The 20,486-nt window shown below is 40.8% G+C and overlaps 1 long non-coding RNA gene across 5 annotated transcripts in view; it reads right to left on the bottom strand.

Annotated features, from left to right (window-relative positions):
- Positions 1 to 20,486, bottom strand: part of LOC105377043 (uncharacterized) — a 191,504-nt gene that overhangs the window by 104,051 nt on the left and 66,967 nt on the right. For 2 of the 5 annotated variants that reach the window (XR_007095886.1, XR_007095883.1), the window contains exons 3-4: positions 19,263 to 19,338; positions 13,924 to 14,428 (exon numbers count right to left, since the gene is read on the bottom strand). The exons of the other annotated variants lie outside the window; for them this stretch is intronic. This is a non-coding gene — a long non-coding RNA (uncharacterized LOC105377043). Of the gene's footprint in view, positions 1 to 13,923; positions 14,429 to 19,262; positions 19,339 to 20,486 lie in introns of those variants that run through there. 5 annotated transcript variants of the gene reach the window in all.

Here is a 20,486-nt window from a genome sequence, read left to right as displayed (position 1 = left end):
CAAATAGCAATATTCATAGCAGCCTTGGTCATAATAGGCAAAAAGTAGAAACAACCCAAAAGTCCATCAACTGATAAATGGATAAATAAAATGTGGTATAGTCATACAATGGAATATCATTCAACACTAAAAGAAATAACGTATTGATAGGGGCTACAGTATGGCCGAACCTTGAAAACATGATGCTAAATGAAAGAAGCCAGTCACAAGTCATATATTGTATTATTCTGTTTCCATGAAATGTCCAGAATTGGTAAATCTACAGAGATAGAAAGTACATTAGTGATTGCCTAGGGTATGTGGGAATGGGATGGAGAAAATGACTTCTAATGAGTATAGGTTTTCTTTTGGGGTGATGAAAGTGTTCCAAAATTAGATACTTATTCTACTAATATATAGTTGACTCTTGAACAATGCAGTGGGTAGGGGAACTGATCTTCCATGCAGTTGAAAATCATATAACTCTTTACTCCCCCAAAACTTAACTACTAATAGCCTTCTATTGATCAGAAGCCTTACTGATTATGTAACAGTTGATTAATATATATTTTGTATGTTACACATATTATATATGGTATTCCCACAATAAAGCTAGAGAAAAGAAAATGTTAAGAAAATAGTAAGAGAAAATATATTAACTATTCATTAAGTGGAAGTGGATCATGGTAAGGGTCTCTATCCTTGATGTCTTCAGGTTAAATAGACTAAGGAGGAGAAAGAGGAGAGATTGGTTTTGCTGTCTCAGGTGTGGCAGAGGCAGACAAAATGAAGGAGGTGGAAGGGGAAGCAGGAGAGGCAAGCACACTTAGTGTAACCATGGAAATACATGACAATTTCTGTCTGACATTTTGCTTTTTCATTTCTCCAAAAATGTTTCTGTATGGTACCAATTATTCTTCCACCATTTGCTTTAGCTTCAGTGCCTGTATCATTCTTGTCACAAAAGAAGTCGTAACTACTCTTGAATAATTAAAACTTTTTTTGTCGGATTGTCTAAAGTTTTTGGCACTGGTGCTTCTACATCTTCTTCCTCATGATCTGGCACTGGTTCAGAAGCACTCATCCTTATCAAGTCATCATCTGTTAATTCCTATGCTGTGGTGTCTACTAGTTCTCAAATTTCTCCAAAATCCATATCTTGAAACCCTTCACCCACCACTTTATTTTTTTTTTTTTGCCATATCCACAATCTCTTTCATGAATTCCTTGACTGACTCTGTTGTAAATCCTGTGAAGTCATGCACAACATCCGAACACAGTTTTCTCCAGCAGAAAGTTATTATTTTATGTTTGATGGCTTTCATCGATTTTTCCTGTGACAACGATGGCATTTTCAGTGGTGTAATCCTCCCACACTTTTATGATGTTCTCTCTAACGGGGTTCTCTTCCATAGCATTGACAATCCTTTCCATAAGGTACCATATGTAATGATTTTTTAAAGGTCCTTATGATCCCCTGATCTGCAGGCTGAATTAGAGACATTGTGTCTGGGGACAAATAGTCCACTTTAATGCCCTTGGTATTGAACTTGTGGAATTCTGGGTGGCCAGAGGCATTGTCGAATATCAAAAGAACTTTAAAAGGCAGTCTCTTACTGGCAAGGTACTGCCTTACTTCAGGGACAAAACATCAATGGATGTAATCCAGAAAAAGGGTTCTCATTGTTTATGCATTTTTGTTGTATAACCAAAAGACAAGCAGCTCATATTTGTCTTTTCAATTCAAGGCCCAGAGGTTAGCAGCTTTGTAGATAAAGGCAGTCCTGATTATAAACCCGAATGCATTTGTACAACATACAGTTAGCTTATCTCTTTCTGCCTTAAATCCTGGTGCTTACTTCTCTTCCTTACTCATAAATCTCTTTTGTTGCATTTTCCCCCAGAATAAGGCACTTTCATCTGCATTAAAAATCTGTTCAGGCAAATGTCCTTTCTCCTTGGTGACTTTCTTGAAGGTGTCTGGGAACTTGTCTGCTGCCTCTTAGTTGGCAGAAGATGTTTCTCCTGTTATCTTGACATTTTAAAGTCAAGCCTTTTTCTTTTTTTTTTTTTTTGGTGTTAAGAAGCACTTTTATTAATACCTTATATATGTCATAATTTTTCACTTGTTCTTTATTTTATATATATATATTTTTTTCATTATACTTTAAGTTCTAGAGTACATGTGCACAATGTCCAGGTTTGTTACATATGTATACATGTGCCATGTTGGTGTGCTGCACCCATTAACTCGTCATTTACATTAGGTATATCTCCTAATGCTATCCCTCCCCCCTCCCCCCACCCCATGACAGGCCCCAGTGTGTGATGTTCCCCTTCCTGTGTCCAAGTGTTCTTATTGTTCAATTCCCACCTATGAGTGAGAACATGCGGTGTTTGGTTTTTTGTCCTTGCCATAGTTTGCTGAGAATGATGGTTTCCAGCTTCATCCATGTCCCTACAAAGGACATGAACTCATCATTTTTTATGGCTGCATAGTATTCCATGGTGTATATGTGCCACATTTTCTTAATCCAGTCTATCATTGATGGACATTTGGGTTGGTTCCAAGTCTTTGCTATTGTGAGTAGTGCCACAGTAAACATACGTGTGCATGTGTCTTTATAGCAGCATGATTTATATTCCTTTGGGTATATACCCAGTAGTGGGATGGCTGAGTCAAATGGTATTTCTAGTTCTAGATCCCTGAGGAATCGCCACACTGTCTTCCACAATGGTTGAACTAGTTTACAGTCCCACTATCAGTGTAAAAGTGTTCCTATTTCTCCACATCCTCTCCACCACCTGTTGTCTCCTGACCTTTTAATGATTGCCATTCTAACTGCTGTGAGATGGTATCTCATTGTGGTTTTGATTTGAATTTCTCTGATGGCCAGTGATGATGAGCATTTTTTCACGTATCTGTTGGCTGCATAAATGTCTTCTTTTGAGAAGTGTCTGTTCATATCCTTCGCCCACTTTGTGATGGGTTGTTTTTTTCTTGTAAATTTGTTTGAGTTCTTTGTAGATTCTGGATATTAGCCCTTTGTCAGATGAGTAGATTGCAAAAATTTTCTCCCATTCTGTAGGTTGCCTATTCACTCTGATGGTAGTTTCTTTTGCTGTGCAGAAGCTCTTTAGTTTAATTAGATCCCATTTGTCAATTTTGGCTTTTGTTGCCATTGCTTTTGATGTTTTAGACATGAAGTCCTTGCCTAGGTCTATGTCCTGAATGGTATTGCCTCGGTTTTCTTCTAGGGTTTTTATGGTTTTAGGTCTAACATTTAAAAGTCAGGCCTTTCGCTAAGATTATCAGACCATCCTTTTCTGGCATTAAATTCTCAGGCTTTAGATTCTTTGCCTTCCATTTGCTTTAGGTTTTCATATAATGACTTCACTTTTTCTTGAATCATATTAGAGTATAAAGGTATGCCTTTCTTATAGCAATCCTGCACCCACAGAAAAGCCACATTTTCAATATGTGATAAAAAGTACTTCACAAAAAGTGCAAGGTTTCATGCACTTTTTTTTAATGCAGTGATGGCTTCATGAAATTGTTTTTCCTTCCTTCCTTCCTTCCTCCCTTCCTTCCTCTTTCTTTCTCTCCTTTCTTTCTTTTCTTTCTCTTTCTTTCTTTCTTTTTCTTTCTTCCCTTCCTTCCTTCCTTTCTTTCTTCTTTCTTTCTCTTTCTTTCTTTGATCTTTACACTGGTTTCATTTATCTTGAAATGGTGAACAACTGCAACTGCTGACCTCAATTGATGGTGCATATCAAGCAACTCTGTCTTTTCTGGTGATGTCATGACTTTTCTCTGACACTCGGGAGCACTTCAAGTACTGGCACGTTTGTATGGGTCCCATGATGTTATTCAAGGTTTATGGTATTGCAATATGAAAAATACATGGAAACCACAAAAGATCATTTTTTAATGTGATATGCAATTTACTGGAGAGACAAACTGTTCACAAGGAGATGAATAGCAGCACATGGTGTTTTAAGCAGATATCCCCAACACTGGAGCTGACCCAGTAGTAACAAGAGGTAAATACAAAATTATTACAGTAGTACAGTATGTATTCTAATTAAGTTTATGCAGTTATGATTTAATATTGTATATTTACATTTCTCTCAAAATACAATATATTGCATGTATTGTATATTTACATTACATGCAAAAGGCAACATGTATGGCCTGTATGTGTATGCATAAGTTTTGATAAATTTAAACTTTTAATAATAGATGAGCATAATTTATGATAGTAAATGATAAAAATAGACTACCATCTATATATATTTTTTGCATTGATTACATACCAAAATTTTACTTAATTTTTTTCCATATTTGTAGGCTATATGATTCATCTGCAAGTTTTTTTAAGCTGTTGCAAATCTCTGGGTATCAAAATGGACTGCTTGGATCCCAGTAACCTGCAGAATTTTTATTACCAAGGTATCCCATCTTCTTTTTTGCTTTCATGACAGAGACCTTTTCTTTTTTTATCTGTGCAGTCTACTTGCTAATTTTTATTATTCATACATTTTTAACAGCAATATTCATAAATGAGTTTGGTCATCTTCCTTGTACTCTGATTTGAGTGGTGGTGTTATTTTTGGCTTCCCGTGGAAGCTCTTCTTATCTTGCTGTGCTTTGAGACAGTTTAAGTATTGGAATTCTTTGTTCCTTGAACATTTGAAATTATTTACCTGAGAAACCATCTGGGCCTGGTGATTAGGGTATGTTTTAGTCTTAATTTCTGATTATTCATCTATTTAGAATTCTTATTTTCTCTAGGGTGAATTTTGGTAATTTCTGTGTTTTCTAAGACACTTAATTATTTCATCCAAGTTTCAATTTAATTTGTACCCAGGTTTGCCAAACATTCCCTGAAACTTTTTTGAATGTCCTCTGTACATTTCATTAATTCTTCTTTCTAATTTTTTATTTTTTATTTCTAATATGATTTTTTCAAATTTTTAAAATTTGTTTTTTCTTTTTCAGTCTTGTAATTCATTAATTTCTGCTTTTACTTTATTATTTATGCTTTCCATATGCTACTTGTGATATTTTTTCCTAACTTCTGGAGCACATTTTTTAAAATTTTCATTTGTAGTGTCTAATATATGTGTTTATGGCTTTATTTTTCTGTGAAATCAGCTTTGGCCATCTTACATTAATTTTGACATGCAGTATTTTATTATTGCTAAGTCATGGAGTTTGAAATTTCAGTTTCAATTTTCTCATTGACCCAAAAATTGTCAAAGAGGAAAATTCAGGGTTTTCCATCTATTATTACATTATGAGATAATTTAATTACTCTAATAAATATAATACTCTTTATTGATCTATGATAAATAGTATTCATCATGCTGGATGTATTAGTCAAGATCTTGGCAGTAAGACAATATGCCGAAAAATATTTAACTAAACAGAATTGAACAAGGAAACTAAGCATAGAGATTGGACGGGTTAAGGGAACCACAAAAAGATGGTGAGGTGTCCAGGGAATAGCAACTGTGGGAATCTGTTAATACCCGTAAACCTGAAGGAAAAAAGGGAGGGAAAAATATCACTGGAGCCTGTGAGAGTCATAGCCATGCCGGAAGGTCTGCCTAGAGGAGCTGCAGTTGAGGAGGAACACATCCACTGCTGAACACTGCCACTGCTGAAACCGCAGGGGATGAAAGGGATAGAGGGGACAAACACTCCAAGCATCCTTCCCTTCACCTTCCTTCCTCTGCCCATACCCAATGGCTGAGCACAGTCTGAAGACAGAGGATCTGAGAGCCTGAAAGATGTGGTCTGTGGAGGTCAGCCACAGAAGGACACAAAACAGGAACTGAAAAGGGAGGAGAAAAACAAATCTGGGAGCAAAAACTGGGAATAACCAGCACCTCAAGTAAATATCATTCTACTCGTATTTAAACATCAGGAATAGATGTAGACTGTGTTAATGCTCTGTGGTCTACTTACGTGATTCATTCTATTTCTAGCTTTCCTGATTTTGAAACATTCTTGCATTCCTAGTACCCTGAACCCTACTTGCATACCTGCATATTCTTTTCAGTATACTTTTGAGTGGTAGCCTCTTTATTTAGAATTTTTATATCTATACTTGTAAATGAGATGATTGGTTCAGCATTTTCTTTTGGGAATGCCAGTTGTCATAGTTTAGTACCAGGGTTAAATTTGCTTTGTGAAATCAATCAGAGGAGCTTTTCACATTTTTATGTTCTAAAATAATTTATACAATAACAAAAAATGATTCCTTAAAAGTTTTTTTTTTAATTACTCAATTATATTCCTACCAGGAACTGGTGACTTTTCTTTCAGTTAATTCTTGGACAATGTTTCTGGGTCTTCTATAATTATTGGTCTGAACAGGTTTTCTAATTTTGAGTCAATCTGGGTCACTTATAATTTTCTAAGGAATGGCTCCTTTCCTGGATATTTATTTTCTCCTGGTAGATCCACATTTTATTTACCCAAACTTGGGGGTTAAATCGTCTTTGTAAAGGGTTTTTCCATCCCCCGTGGCTGCCCATAGGATTGTTGTAGTTGCTGCGCGGAGAGCTCCTCAAAGGCTTGGTTAAAACAGTTAAAACTCTTAAGAGGGGTTTTATCCTGCAGATAGGATTGTTCCAGCTTCTCTGCAGCTGTAGAAAAATGCCACATCCTGTGGAGCTGACCACATGAGAATGTGCTTGAGCTGTCCTTCCAGAATGATTCACCATGTAGTTGCATAACCTCAGCACCTGCCTACCCTGGAAACTGACCTCTGAAAACTGGCTGTGATTTAGCCCTCCTGCTCAACAAAAGCAACAAGGAAGTATGTGAGAGGAGGAGAAAGAAAGGGAAGCAGGGAATGCATGCAAGAGTGAGCCCTGCTCTAAGAAGGATGTGCCTTCCTTGACAGAGCTTTCCTTCTGGCCTTGGCTCTGCCACTTTGGATGTGTCATTGTGAGTAACCTTGCTGGGCTTTAGTTACCTAACTGTGAAATGAGAGGCTCTGAGGCCTTCCTAGATTTATGTTTCTATTAACAGATTCCCCCCAGGATCATACCTCTCTCAAGAAACTGATGGAATTGCATAAGTAACAGTGTCTGAGAGCTGAGATCTTATTCAGGAGGGACAAAAAGGCCCTTCTGCTCCCCTTGTATCTCCCCACCAGCCTGCCTTGAACTCAAAGAGCTGCTATGTGGGGTTCAAGTTATCAATAGCCTGAGCAAGAGTCTTGGCCCAAAGAAACAACCCTTTGAACTGTTTAACACCTTAATGTGCACTAACGCATCCAACTGGCAAGGTTCTGAGCGGACAGGATGTTTTTGATGGGGAGGGAGAGGTCTAGTGCATGGACCACTGGAGAGAGCCAGCCTGGAATGACAACCAAAATTGCCAGGGATGGATGGGGAGGTGTGCAATTGGCAGGCAGGTGACAACATAGTGTTTATTGAGTGTGTGGCCAAGATGGAAGTGAAATACAACGCTGTCTTAGCTTGGGCTACTATAACAAATTATCATAGACTAGGTGGCTTAAATGATAGACATTTCTTACACTTCTGGAGGCTGGGAAGTCTAAGAAGGTGCTGGTAGATTCAGTTCCTAGTGAGACTTTCTTCCTGACTTATAGACATCCACCTTCTTGCTGTGTCATCACGTGTTCTTTCCTCCATGTATGAGCATGGAAAGAGAGAAAGATTCTTTCTCTTCTTGCAAGGGCACTAATCCCATCATAAGAGCCCCAGCCTCGTGACCTGTTCTAACCCTAATTACCTCCCAAAAGCCTTACTCCCAAATACCATCACACTGGGGATTAGGACTTTAACACATGAATTTTGGGAGGACACAAACATTCAGACCATAATGAACACAAATTAGTCTATAAGAGTTTGAGGAATGTTTAGCATCAAAGACTCTGGCAATGTAGCGTGAATAACATGGTCTATAGAAGCCAACAGAGCTGGGTTTCCATCCCAGTTTTGCCACTCACTTAGCAAGTTCCTAAATCTCTGTGAGCCTCTTTTCTCATTTGCAAAATGGGAATATAATGCCTATCTTTAGGGCTGATGAGAGTTAAGTGAGATAATGTTTAAAAAGTACTTAAGCACAGTGACTGGTACAAGTGAGAATTTAATCAACATATCTGCTATTAAAAAGAATCCCACTTTTGACCATCTCTCTCTAGAAGCCATCCTTAATCATTTAATTAATCACAAGAATTTTTGTGTTCCTGCTGTGCTGATCACTCTGGGGTTACAAGGAAAAATATTCCCTGCACTCAAACAGCCTCCTATCCAGTGGAGTAGACAGATTTGCACACAACCAAGTAAAACATAAAGCAAAACTGGCATGAGAACCAACTAGAGGTGTCCCAGCACACTGTGGAAAGGCCTAGGAAGGAATGATGAGCTCTCAGAGTGGGAGTGGGGGAGCAGGTCAGGCAGCATGTGAATTAGGTTTTACCAACTGATAAGGTCATCTAGTCTGACACCTTTGCTTTACAACTAAGGACCCAGACAGGTTTAAAAAGGTTAAAAATTCTCCACTCACATATTGACCACAGACAATGTGCCAGTCATTGTTAAGCTTGACTTCTTCTTTTTCTTTTTTTTTTTTTTTGAGACAGACTCTTGCTCTGTCACCCAGGCTGGAGTGCAGTGGCATGATCTCAGCTCACTGCAAGCTCCGCCTCCCAGGTTCACACCATTCTCCTGCCTCAGCCTCCGGAGTAGCTGGGACTACAGGCGCCTGCCACCATGCCCAGCTAATTTTTTGTATTTTTAGTAGAGACGGGGTTTCACCATGTTAGCCAGGATGGTCTCAATCTCCTGATCTTGTAAGCTTGACTTCTTAAACCTCACAAGAACCCTATGAGATGGAGATTCTTGCCATCCCCATTTTATGGATGAAGAAACCGAGGTACAGAGAGATGACATAACTTGTCCAAGGTCATATAGCTCATGGGTGACAGAACAAGAATTTGACTCCCTGTAGTCCTCTCCAGGACCAACACAGCTGCCTCTCTTAGCAGCAGAGCTGGAGCTGAAGAGCCCAGCTCGCGACTGAAACACTATGCTTTCCCATTCTCCTACACAGCCACTTCCAGCAAGTCAAATATTTCAGAAGGCAATTCTGGGTGAGCTTTCCAGGCTGAGGACAGCCTAGAAAAAGAATAGAGGACAGCAAGAGAAAAAGCATGGAGACCTGAATGGTCACGTTCTTGGAAGAGTGCAGGGATTACAACTGAAGGGTGGAATGAAGTTAATTAATAACAGTAGTGTAACACTTGCACCATTACAATCAAACCTCAGGTGATGAAGAAGCAGCAACAGCAACGTTCTTATACATTTTAGAAGTAAGAAAAGGCAAAGAGTGGTCTCTCAGGCATTAGTGTCTCCTCTGTCATCACAGAAACCATAGAGATATAAAGAAACCCTCAACTCTAAACCTGCTCCTCTCTTGGGTTCTACCATCCACCCTCCTGCTACTCAGAAACAGGGGAGAGGTAGGAGACTCATTTCTCCCTCATTCCTTTGCCAATTCTACTTTTAAAATATTTTTGGCTGGGCACCATGGCTCATGCCTGTAATCCCAACACTTTGGGAGGCCGAGGCAAGAGAATCACTTGAGGCCTGGCCAATATTGCAAGACTCCGTCACACAAAAAATTTTTTTGAAATTGCCCTTGTGTTGTTCCAGCTTCGTTAAGAAGCAGATGCCAAGGTGAGGTTAAACATGCAAGGATTTTTGTTAAGGAAAATATCTATGAGAGAAAATGTGGAGGAAGCCAGGAGAAGCTCACAATGAGTGCGACCTCGAATGAAGAAAAGAGGGAGAGAAGGTTGGGTGGAAGTGTCACACTGTTGTGCAGTGCAAGGAATGTTCCGCAAAGCCACTGGGGAGTTTTAAGCCACAAACACCATTAGGGGAGCTCCAGGTCTCCCAGAAACATCCCCGTACTTGTATTACTGCCACTCTTGGTAACTGGCTGACATTAGCTCATGGGAAGCATGGCTTCAACACAAACGTGAGGCTGGATTTAGATCACAGCAATAGTGCCCATGGTCCATTATGTGCCCTGTAACTGGGGAGCTGTGAGTCTAGACTGATGCCCAGGTACATAGCTCCTCATCAACTCTACAACTACTGGCCCAGTTCAGACCCTTCCATTCTCTGTAGAACCTCAGCTGGTCTCCCTGTTGCTAATCTTTATCACTCCAAGCCTTTTTCCACACCACAGTCAGAAAGACCCTTCTAAAGTACAAATCTAACATGTCAATCGTCTGCTTAAAGCCTTCAATAATGATTTTGCTAATTCCCTTGAAATCTATAAATGGAGCTCTTGCGTTGTATAAGAGATTGATTGAATATTTAATCAAACAAGATGCCCTTGAACTGGTAACATACTTTATTCCAGCACTCTAGTCTGAGTGAGGTAAGACTCTATAGAGACTGAAAATACAATTTAGCTGAGACACTTACACATTACCTTTACTGAGAGTCATTGAACGTCTTGCTGATCTTGTTGGGGAATTTAAATCTTTGTAAAATGTGACTTGGCTAAGCTTATCAACAACTGATTATTAATGATATTACTGCAAAAACACAATCAAACTCAACATACTACATTCTGAGTTCTTGATTGGGAATTTTACTGACCTTGGGATTTTCTAATACTTTATGAACATCCTGCCATCTAGAATATTGGCAGGGGGTGGAGGGTACCATCTTTTGGGAATGTATTAACTGACTTTGCCCATTCATGAGGTAAACCAATAATTAGCTCACGGCAAGATGGCAGGAAGTTCCTGCCACAAAATATAAGAATGACAATGTAGCTCCCATTATTCATTCTTCAGGAACACAGTGTAAACCTTCATTCTCATCTCAGTAGTTAAAAACGTCTGTAGCTCCTGGGACAACTGGAACACTACAGGTAGCACTGATCACAAGCTTTTATCTAAAGAAAATGCCATAGATTTAATTTTTGCTGTGATCTATGCAATGCTGAAATCCTTTGACTTAGTGACACACCTAGAGGAGGAATTCCTAATATAAAACTTTGAAGGTCACAGCGTGTCCCAGATTTAGATATTCTCAGGGTGATCATTTTGCACAGTTAATTCTGTGAAATCCAAAATTGGTTCATAATGTCACTTGAATATTATTTCTAATAAAAAGGATTTGAGTCATTCTTAAATATTAGGGCCAGTTTATATCTGCCCCCAAAGCATCACATTTTCTCCAAAAGACACTCACCATGTTAGTCTAGCCATCATACAAGTGGTCCTTCTAGGAAATGTCCACAAGAAAGCTTGGAGAAACCCTAGGCTTGATGTCCCATTATTAATCCCAATATTGCAAACACTCACAAGGCATATATCTTATGCCAGTGGACTTATGACACTGGCATCTAATATTTTCTCTGATCAAGAACTCATAACAACCATTTCAGATAAACAGCTTTTTGATCATAGCAGATTCTTATTCAAAATTCCTCTGATTTATTTAAAATTGAGGAAGAGAGGACCAAGACTCCTAATCCCCCATTCCTTGGCCACTTGCTTGCACCTACTTCAGGTTCCTAGAGGAGAGATAAGAAAGAGGTCAGGGTGAAAAAAATGCAAGTTTTCTCTTGCTTTGTCCCCAAAACCATATAGGAAGAGTCCAACCTTGGTAGCTGAGCTGGACCACAAGAGGGTGACAAGGACAACCTTTGTGCATCTGACCAAGGCTACACTAAAAGTCAGCTGTGATAGTTTTATGTGTGATATCGTTAGGCTTTATGTCCCCACCCAAATCTCATCTTGAATTGTAATCCACAGGTGTTGAGGGAGACACCTGGTGGGAGGTGATTGGATCATGGGGGCAGTTTCCCCATGCTATTCTCATGACAGTGAGTGAGTTCTCATGAGATATGATGGTTTTATAAGGCAGTTTTCCCTGCTCTTGCTTGCTCTTTCTCACCTGCTGCCATGTAAGATGTGCCTGCTTCACCTTCTGCCATGATTGTAAGTTTCCTGAGGCCTCCCAAGCCATGTGGAACTGTGAGTCAATGAAGCCTCTTTTCGTCTCAAGCAGTTCTTTGTAGCAGTGTGAGAATGGACTAACACAATGTGTCAACTTGGCTGGGTCACAGTGCCCAAATATTCGGTAAAGCATTACTTTTTATGTTTCTGTGAAGGTGTTTTTGGATGAGATTAACATTTAGATTGGTGGACTTTGATTAAAATGGATTGCCCTCCAAATGTGGGTGAGCCTCCAAAGAGTTTAAGGGCTGAATAAAATGAAAGACTGAACTTCCCTCAGCAAGAAGAAAGTCTGTCAGCAGACAGGCTTCAGTCTTGAACTGAAACATCAGCTCTTCCTGGATCTACATACAGCCTTCCGGCCCACCCTGCAGATTTTGGATTTGCCAGACTTCATACACACACACACACACACACACACACACACACACACACACACACACACACACACACACACACAGAAAAGGAAAACCCAAGAAACACAGACCCACGGAGTGGGACCCTGAGGCTGTCCCAGAGCAAAGGGACACTTCCCAAGCAGGCATTTCACAGTCAAGGAGGTTCTACCCCCAGTGTTGTGGCCTAATTATATGCTGGATCCATGTCATCCGGATGTCCAGAGCCCCCAAGATGTCTCATGCTGGAAGTGTTTTATTTGCCTCTTTAGATCCAATATCCACCTGCCTTTACCAGCTCTCTGGCCAAGACACTGATATCTGTGAGCCACTTTACAGGGTTTTCTTACTTCCAGCTGGCCACCAGTTGGGTCCAGCCTCTCATGCAGAGGTCATTGCTCTTCAGGCAGCCATCCCCATGGAGCCTCCCTGTCTTTCGGTTCTGAAAGCCTCACCCTCTCCTTGCTCCTGTGGGGACGGAAACTGAACCTGCTGTTTCTAACTCCAGGTACTGCATCATCCCTTGTTTTCCTGGGGCTGACTACACCTTTGTAAATAATCTCTTTTCAAAACCCTCCTTGAACTACCCCGTTTAAGTGTTTCATCTCTTTTCTGGCAAGACCCTGATTGACATACCACCCCTATTAGGATTGTCAGATTTAGCAAAATCAAAAGACAGGATGCCCAGTTATAACTGAATTTCAGATGAACAGTAATTTTTTTTAGTATAAACTGTTCCCAATATTCATTGTTTATCTGAAACTCAGATTTAACCAGGCACCCTGTGTTTTTATCTGGCAACCCTAGCCTTGCCATCAACTATGAAAATATTTTGGGAATCTTGGTGAACTTCAGCTTATCCCTGAAATGAATAAGGTTAATGACAGTCACAGAATATTAATGCTCATGATGCAGATACGGTCCTAATTTGTAGGACTGTTCTCTGAATTGTTTAACTTCCCCTTTCTCTCTCTCTCTCTTTCTCTCCGTGTGTGTGTGTGTGCACGCGCATGTAAGTAGAGAGAAAAAGAGTGTGTGAGAAAAAGTGAGAGCAGAGAAAATAATGAGAGATAAGCCTGGAAGGGAAGTTGATGTTGGCTCATCAAGAACCTTAAATCCTGGGCAGGCAACAAGAGGCCTCTCCACACTATAAGATGTTCTCAAACTCTTGTATGCATGATAAGAGTTCTGGCCCTCACTGCATTATCCATATTTCCTTACCTATCTTTCATGGTTGATTCTGATGAATTTAGCTCTCCAAGGTGGTTTTGTCTTTTTAAAAAAATCTGAAATTTATATCAAAGGATGAAATTGGACTCTGGGAATCTTGCTAGTTCCACTAACTGCAAAACCACATTTGGATACTATGCCACATTATATTTGTAGAACATATTCTTAATAATAAGATGAGATAAGGAAGACTTGATTTAATTTCCCTTTTCTTATTTTTTTCTTGTAAATATAAGAAAGAAAAAGAGAAAAGAAGGAATGAAGGAAAAAAGGAATGAAGGAAGGAAAATAAGGCATTTATAAGAAGTTTTAATAGCTCAAATAAGTGTGCAGAAAAAATTAAGTTTTGGCTTTTGTAATCTACGTTTAAAAATAAAAACATTATGTAATCATCAAAATAAGTGATTAGTTTTTGCAGCCTCCAGTTATTATAATTTCACTGGATATTTTATAAGTTGTTCTGGGAGATATTCCAATGCTTCCTCCGAGATTTCATGAAGAAAAAATTTGCCTCATGTCTAGAAGGTGTTTGATGAAGTATTATAGTGACTGTCTTTTCCGTCTTTGACTAGAGAGGCACCTATGTGGGTCTGTCAAAAAGGCTGTCACTTGAGCAATGAGCATAAGCAGCTCTCTGTGCTTTCTGAGTTGGATTTGAAATTAAATAACTTAATGTTCCCATTTTCCACGGCTCTCAAACAGAGACTTCAGAGATAGTTTGAACAGTCTATTTCAGGCAACAACTTCTGCTTTCAATGACTGGGCAAACATTACATTTTGCCCTTCCTAGGCCAAATCCTAGAAAGGATAGAAAACATAAAAATAATATATTACATATCTACATAAACACATTAAAAAATAAAAAGAGGGGTTTGCAATGGACAAAAAGCTATGAGAAACTCACCAACAACAGAAAGCAGAGGATCACACTGAAAAGGAAGACAGGAGGCAGGGTATGCAAGACAGTGTGGCCGCAGAAAGGGAAGGCAGAATGAGGACCAACATAGTGGAATCCAGGAGCAAGAAGGGGGACCCTTAGCTGGGATACTGCCATCGAGCTACCACATGGGGTACCCCAGACATTCTTCGCCACCACCAGGCCTAAGCGACCCCGTCACAAACGTGAGTGCAGGAGCTCCAAGCAGATGTTCAGACCACCAGGCCTTCATGAGACTGGCCACAACACCCTGTCTCATGTGAGGTTGTGGTTATCAGGCCCCCACTAGAAACCACCCCAGAAATTTCCTCAGAAGGCCCTTCAACCTGTGCATGAGCACCAGTTTACTTTTGTCTAAGAAGTCCAGCTTGCAATAATTTTGAAACTTTATCTATCAACATTCCTTCTCTGTGCCTCCTGGCTTTATGATATGTAGATTCGGGTCATTTACTCAAATGTTAGCCACAATTATGCCAAAGACAGAGCCTGCTGGCAACTACTAGAAACCTTTCTCCAGGTTCATGTGGAGGCAGGAAGCAGTGCCCTTTGAGCCAGGTTGAACTAGCTGTCAGTCCATCTTACTTGTCAACATTTTTGTTTAATCTGCTTACTAGCTGTGTGATTTGAACCAGGCACTTGGTCACTCGGAGCCTCAGTTTCCTCTTCCTACCTCATAGGATTGATATGAGGATAAAATGGGATAATATGCTTTGCACAGTCACTAGAATATAGAAGGAGATCAATAAATGTTCAGTTGTTATTACTATTTTGAGCATGTGGGGTAGTCAATGGTTTTCCTGGAATTTAGTCTTCCTGAAGCCCTCCTGGCCCATGTCTTACTTCTGTCATATACCTTGGCTGTGCCCCTTCTTCTAGCTTTTCCTTATATACTCTAGAGTAGAATTTATCTGAAAGCGTGATGTACAGGCACATTTCTTTCTGGAGGTGACATATTCTTGGATTGTAATAATTTTAGATTTAAAGTCTCCATTTTTTCTTATGTCATATCACCAGTTAGATTTTCTAGCCACAGGATTGTATCCATTTTTGGGGAGTGTTTTGGAAATCTGCCTTCCGAAGTCTAGAATCCATTTTCTTACCATCCTCAATATCTCGTTTATGAATCCTGGGGTAAAAGAGTCATTTTATGCAAAGCTTTTATCGCTTCCATTTTACCAATTAGTTTTTTTGTTGGTGGTCATAATCAATTCCAGAATAATCTTTCTTCCCTTGTGGCTTCACCTGCCTGTCTAGGAGTGGAAGTTGTCAGCAGGGCACTGTAGGAATGTGCCCTGTTTTCAGCAGAATGAGGCTTGTGCAGAATGCTGGAGAGCTGACACTCCAGCCCCAGCCCCAGCCCCAGCCCCAGCCCCAGCCCCAGCCCCACTGCTAAAACCCCTAAAACAATTGTTCTTCCCACATTTTAGTCTCACCAGAATAGTCTCCACTGTGTTTCTCCACATGGATCCATGAGTTTCTAGGTCATCTTCTATAGTGTGATTCTGTCTGCCCTTCTTCTGAACACAGTGTCCTTCTAGTTGTATTTCAGGTGATTTATTTACCAGAGCTGAGTATATTTTATGAGACTCTTGTTCCCTCTTTACATTAAAATTTTAGGTCATCTTGATTTTCCCTGAGCTTTATTCCTCCCTCCCTTGGTCAAGACACAGTCTAGCTCCCTCTTTAAGCAAGTCCTTATGAAACACCTTTCTTCTTTTCTTCATGAAATGCCCCCTATCCCTAGCCAGGAACTCCCTGCTGGGTCATCAAAGGTCAGAGTCCAGGAAAAAAAATGCCTTCTCCTTGCTGGTGGCTGGAGTCAGCTGTTCACAGCCCACATGATCCAGTTATTACTTAGGTATGACAGGTAGAAGAAGTAAAAGTGCTGAGCCTTCAAGCCCTTCAGTTCTTTTTTTTTTTTTGATGGAGACTCACTCTGTTGTCAGGCTAGAGTGCAGTGGTGTGATCTCGGCTCACTGCAACCTCCGCCTCATGGGTTCAAGTGATTCTCCTGCCTCAGCCTCCTGAGTAGCTGGGACTACAGGCGCATGCCACCACGCCCAGCTAATTTTTGTATTTTTAGTAGAGACGGGGTTTCACCATGTTGGCCAGGATGGTCTTGATCTCTTGACCTTTTGATCCACCCACCTTGGCCTCCCAAAGTACTCGGATTACAGGCGTGAGCCATGGCACCCGGCCAAGCCCTTCTGTTCTTTTATTGAGATTTCAGACCCCAAGGCAACATTCCAAGTTAATTCCGAAAGGATCCACATGAATCTGCAGAATGAGGAGCAGCCTGTCTTTTTCTGGCAAACTCTCAATGAAATCAGCCTCAGCAGACGTTAATGGACCCACCATATTGCCTCAGCACTCAACATTCCCCTGTACACCAATGACTTCTTAATGTGAACACCTGCAACTCTTTGCCTGAGGACTTTGATCAGTCCATGTGGGAACAAGCAAGAAGTGTTAGGGACCCCCAAGAGCAGCCATCAACCAATAACAGATGAAAACTCCAGCTTTCCTGCCCTTCAGGTGGCACATTTCAGCAGCCTATCCCACACTATTTCCCAAAGACCCTCCATCAGCCTCACCCCCAATTAACCACAGTTGGTAACTTGCTCAGCAAGAATAAATTTCCTTGCCTCTCTGTCTTCTTTGCTTCTTTACACTCCCAAATAAGCAACTGCATTCACATAAGTTTGAGGGTCTGCTTCTGCAGAACCCAGACAAAGACACAAGCTGACATGTGTTATCTGTTCATGCTTGGTTCATACCAAGCAAGCCAGAACCATGGTTGTATACTGTATTAGTTTCCTATTGCTGCTGTAACAAATTACCATAAATTAATTGGCTTAAAACAACATAAATGTATTGTTCTGTAGGTCACAGTTCTCACTGGGCTAAACTCAGAGTATTGGCAGGGCTGTTGTTACCGGACGCCTAAGGGAAGAATTCATGTCCTCGCCTTTTCCAGCTTTTAGGGGCCACATGCATTCCTTGGCTTGTGATCCCTTTCCCCTTCTTCAAAGTCAGCAGCATAGCATATTCAAATCTCTCTCTCTCTGATGCTCTTGCCTCCTTCTTATAAGGACTCTTGTGATCATGTTGGGTTCATCCAGATAATCCAAGATAATTTTCCTATTCACAGATCCTGAAATTAATCATACCTGCAAAGTCCCCTTTGCCATAGACGATCACATATTCTCAGATTTCAGGAATTAGGACATGGATTTGGGGAGAGGGGTTGTTATTTTGCCTATCAACGATATTCAAAGGTCCAAATTACAACTTTGAAACTGGAACTATTGCCACCATTTACTCTGCATGGTCCATGTGGAACGTGGATTAGTACCCTGGATCCAGGTCTTCTCCCAAATTCCTCTCCACAAGGGGCAGGTGGGCACTGTATTCCATCTTGCCCAGAATAAGGCTGGCCTAGCTTGCTGAGAGTATGCTGATTTCACTCACCTTCTGAGGGTTGATTTTTTCCACCTATAAAATGAAAATATTTCAATCTAACTTCCAGGGTTGTTAAAAGGTTTAAATGAGATAACAAGTTAAAATTGCTTATTAAATTATTTTTGTCTTTTGAGGTTATATATTATTTTGACTAAGTCTACACTTATTATGTAGTGGTAAAAAAAATTAAGTATATAATTTAAGGCTCAGTAAATATACCTTTGCCTCAATTAGCTGTTGTAGGCATTAGGGATACTGAGATTTCCTGTCTAATCACCACACTCTGTTCTGCAGCTGCCTCTCCAGAGGACCCAAAGACAATTCCTTCTTCCTGATCAGATGACCTCTTGTCTCTCCTTCCAGGGAAGAATTAACTTCATTATCTGAGTCAGGAACTTAAAGCAATGGGGACTTATGTGCAGCTAATCACATGGCATGGAAGAGTACAGAGTCAGTCAGGATCTACATGCTTGGGAAGGGATGCTACCCAGATTAAATAGATTGTTCCCCTCAGCATTTCAGGGTCTTCTCTAGTGACTGTGTGGCAGAGGACACAGATTTGCCCCTCCCTCTGACCCAGAGCACAGAACTGGTACCTACAAGCAGAAATTGCAGGAAGGTAGCTTTCAGATCATTCCAAAGAAGGATTTTCTAGCATGTAAGTCTGTCTTATAATGATGTGCTTCCTTTGGAAAGTAGAGCTTGGCCATCCACATTGCTCAAGCTGGTGGCTCAGCAGGTATCTTAATCTATTTTGCATCACTATAAAAGAATACCCAAGGCTGAGTAATTTATAAAGAAAAGAGGTTTATTTGGCTCACAGTTCTTCAGGCTATTACAGACATGGCACCAACATCTGCTTGGCTTCTGGTGAGGACCTCAGGAACCTTACAATCATGGTGGAAAGTGAAGAGGCAGCCAGCATACCATGTAGCAAGACAGAGAGAGAGTGGGGAGGTGCCACACCCTTTGTAAACAACCAGATTTTGCAAGAACTCACTCATTACCACAAGGAGGGCACTAAGACATTCATGAGGGATCTGTCCCCATGACCCAGACACTTCCCACTAGGCCCCACTTCCAACATTGGGGATCATATTTCAACATGACATTTGGAGGGGACAAACATCCAAACCAAACTATATCATTCTTCCCCTGGGGCCCCAAATCTTATGTTCTTCTCACTTTGCAAAATACAACCATCCCTTCTCAATAGTTTCCCAAAGACTTAACTTGTTTCAGCATCAAATCAAAGTCCGATGTCTAAGGTCCAAAGTCTCATCTGAGAATCAAGGTAAGTTCCTTCTACCTATGAGCATGTAAAGTAAAAAAGAAGCTATTTACTTTCAAGATAAAATGGTGGAACAGAAATTGGGTAAATATCCCCATTTTAAATGGGAGAAGTTGGCCAAATAAAAGGGGCAATAAGCCCCATACAAGTCCGAAACTCAGCAGGGCAGACATTAAACCCTAAAGCTCCAAATAATCTCCTTTGACTCCATGTCCTGCATCCGGGGCACACTAGTGCAAAAGGTGAGCTCCCAAGGCCTTGGGCAACCCTGCCTCTGTAGCTGCAGGGTGCAGCAACCATGGTTGGTCTCACAGGTTGGAGTTGAGTGCCTGTGGCTTTTCCAGGATCAGATTAAAAGCTGCTGGTGGCTCTACCATTTTTGGGTCTGCAGGACAATGGCTCCCTTCCCACAACTCCACTAGGAAGTGCCCTGGTAAGGATTCTGTGTGGGGGCTCCCACCTTGCTGTAGGCTTCTTCCTAGGCAGCCAAGCTTTCTCATACATACTCTGGAATTTACATTAAAAACTGCCAACCCTATTTCATTCTTGTATTCTGTGCACCTATAGGCTTGCCACCACATGGAAGCCACCAAGGATTACTCTCCAAAGTGGAAGCCTGAGCTGTGCCTAAAGCCCTTTGAGCTGCAGCTGGAGCAGCAGGGATAGGGAGGAAAGCCTCCCAAAGTGGCTCAGGGCAATGGCACCCAGGGCTTGGCCCCTGGAAGCCATTCAGTCCACCTAAGCCTCTGGGCCTATGATGGGAAAGGTTGCCTCCAAGATTTCTGAAATGCCTTTGAAGCCTTTTCCTCACTGCCTTGGATATTAGCACTTGGTTCCATTTTAGTTACACTGATCTCTCCAGCAAGTGGTTGCTCCACAGACTGCTTGAATTCCTCTCCTGAAAATGATTTTTCCTTCTCTATCACATGGCCAGTCTGCAAATTTTCCAAATTTTTATATTCTTCTTCTCTTTTAACTTTAAGTTCCAAATTTAACTCATTTATTTGCTCCTGTATCTGATTGTAGGCCATTAGAAGCAGCCAGATCACATCTTGAATCCTTTGCTGTTTGGCAATTTCTTCAACCTGATACCCTAGGCCAGGGGTCCCCAACCCCCAGGCCACAAACCAGTACCAGTCCATGCCCTGTTAGGAACTGAAGGGCAG

This window comes from Homo sapiens, chromosome 3 (genome assembly GCF_000001405.40).
Source record: "Homo sapiens chromosome 3, GRCh38.p14 Primary Assembly".
NCBI lineage: Eukaryota > Metazoa > Chordata > Mammalia > Primates > Hominidae > Homo > Homo sapiens.
This window is presented reverse-complemented; position numbering and strand designations above follow the sequence as displayed.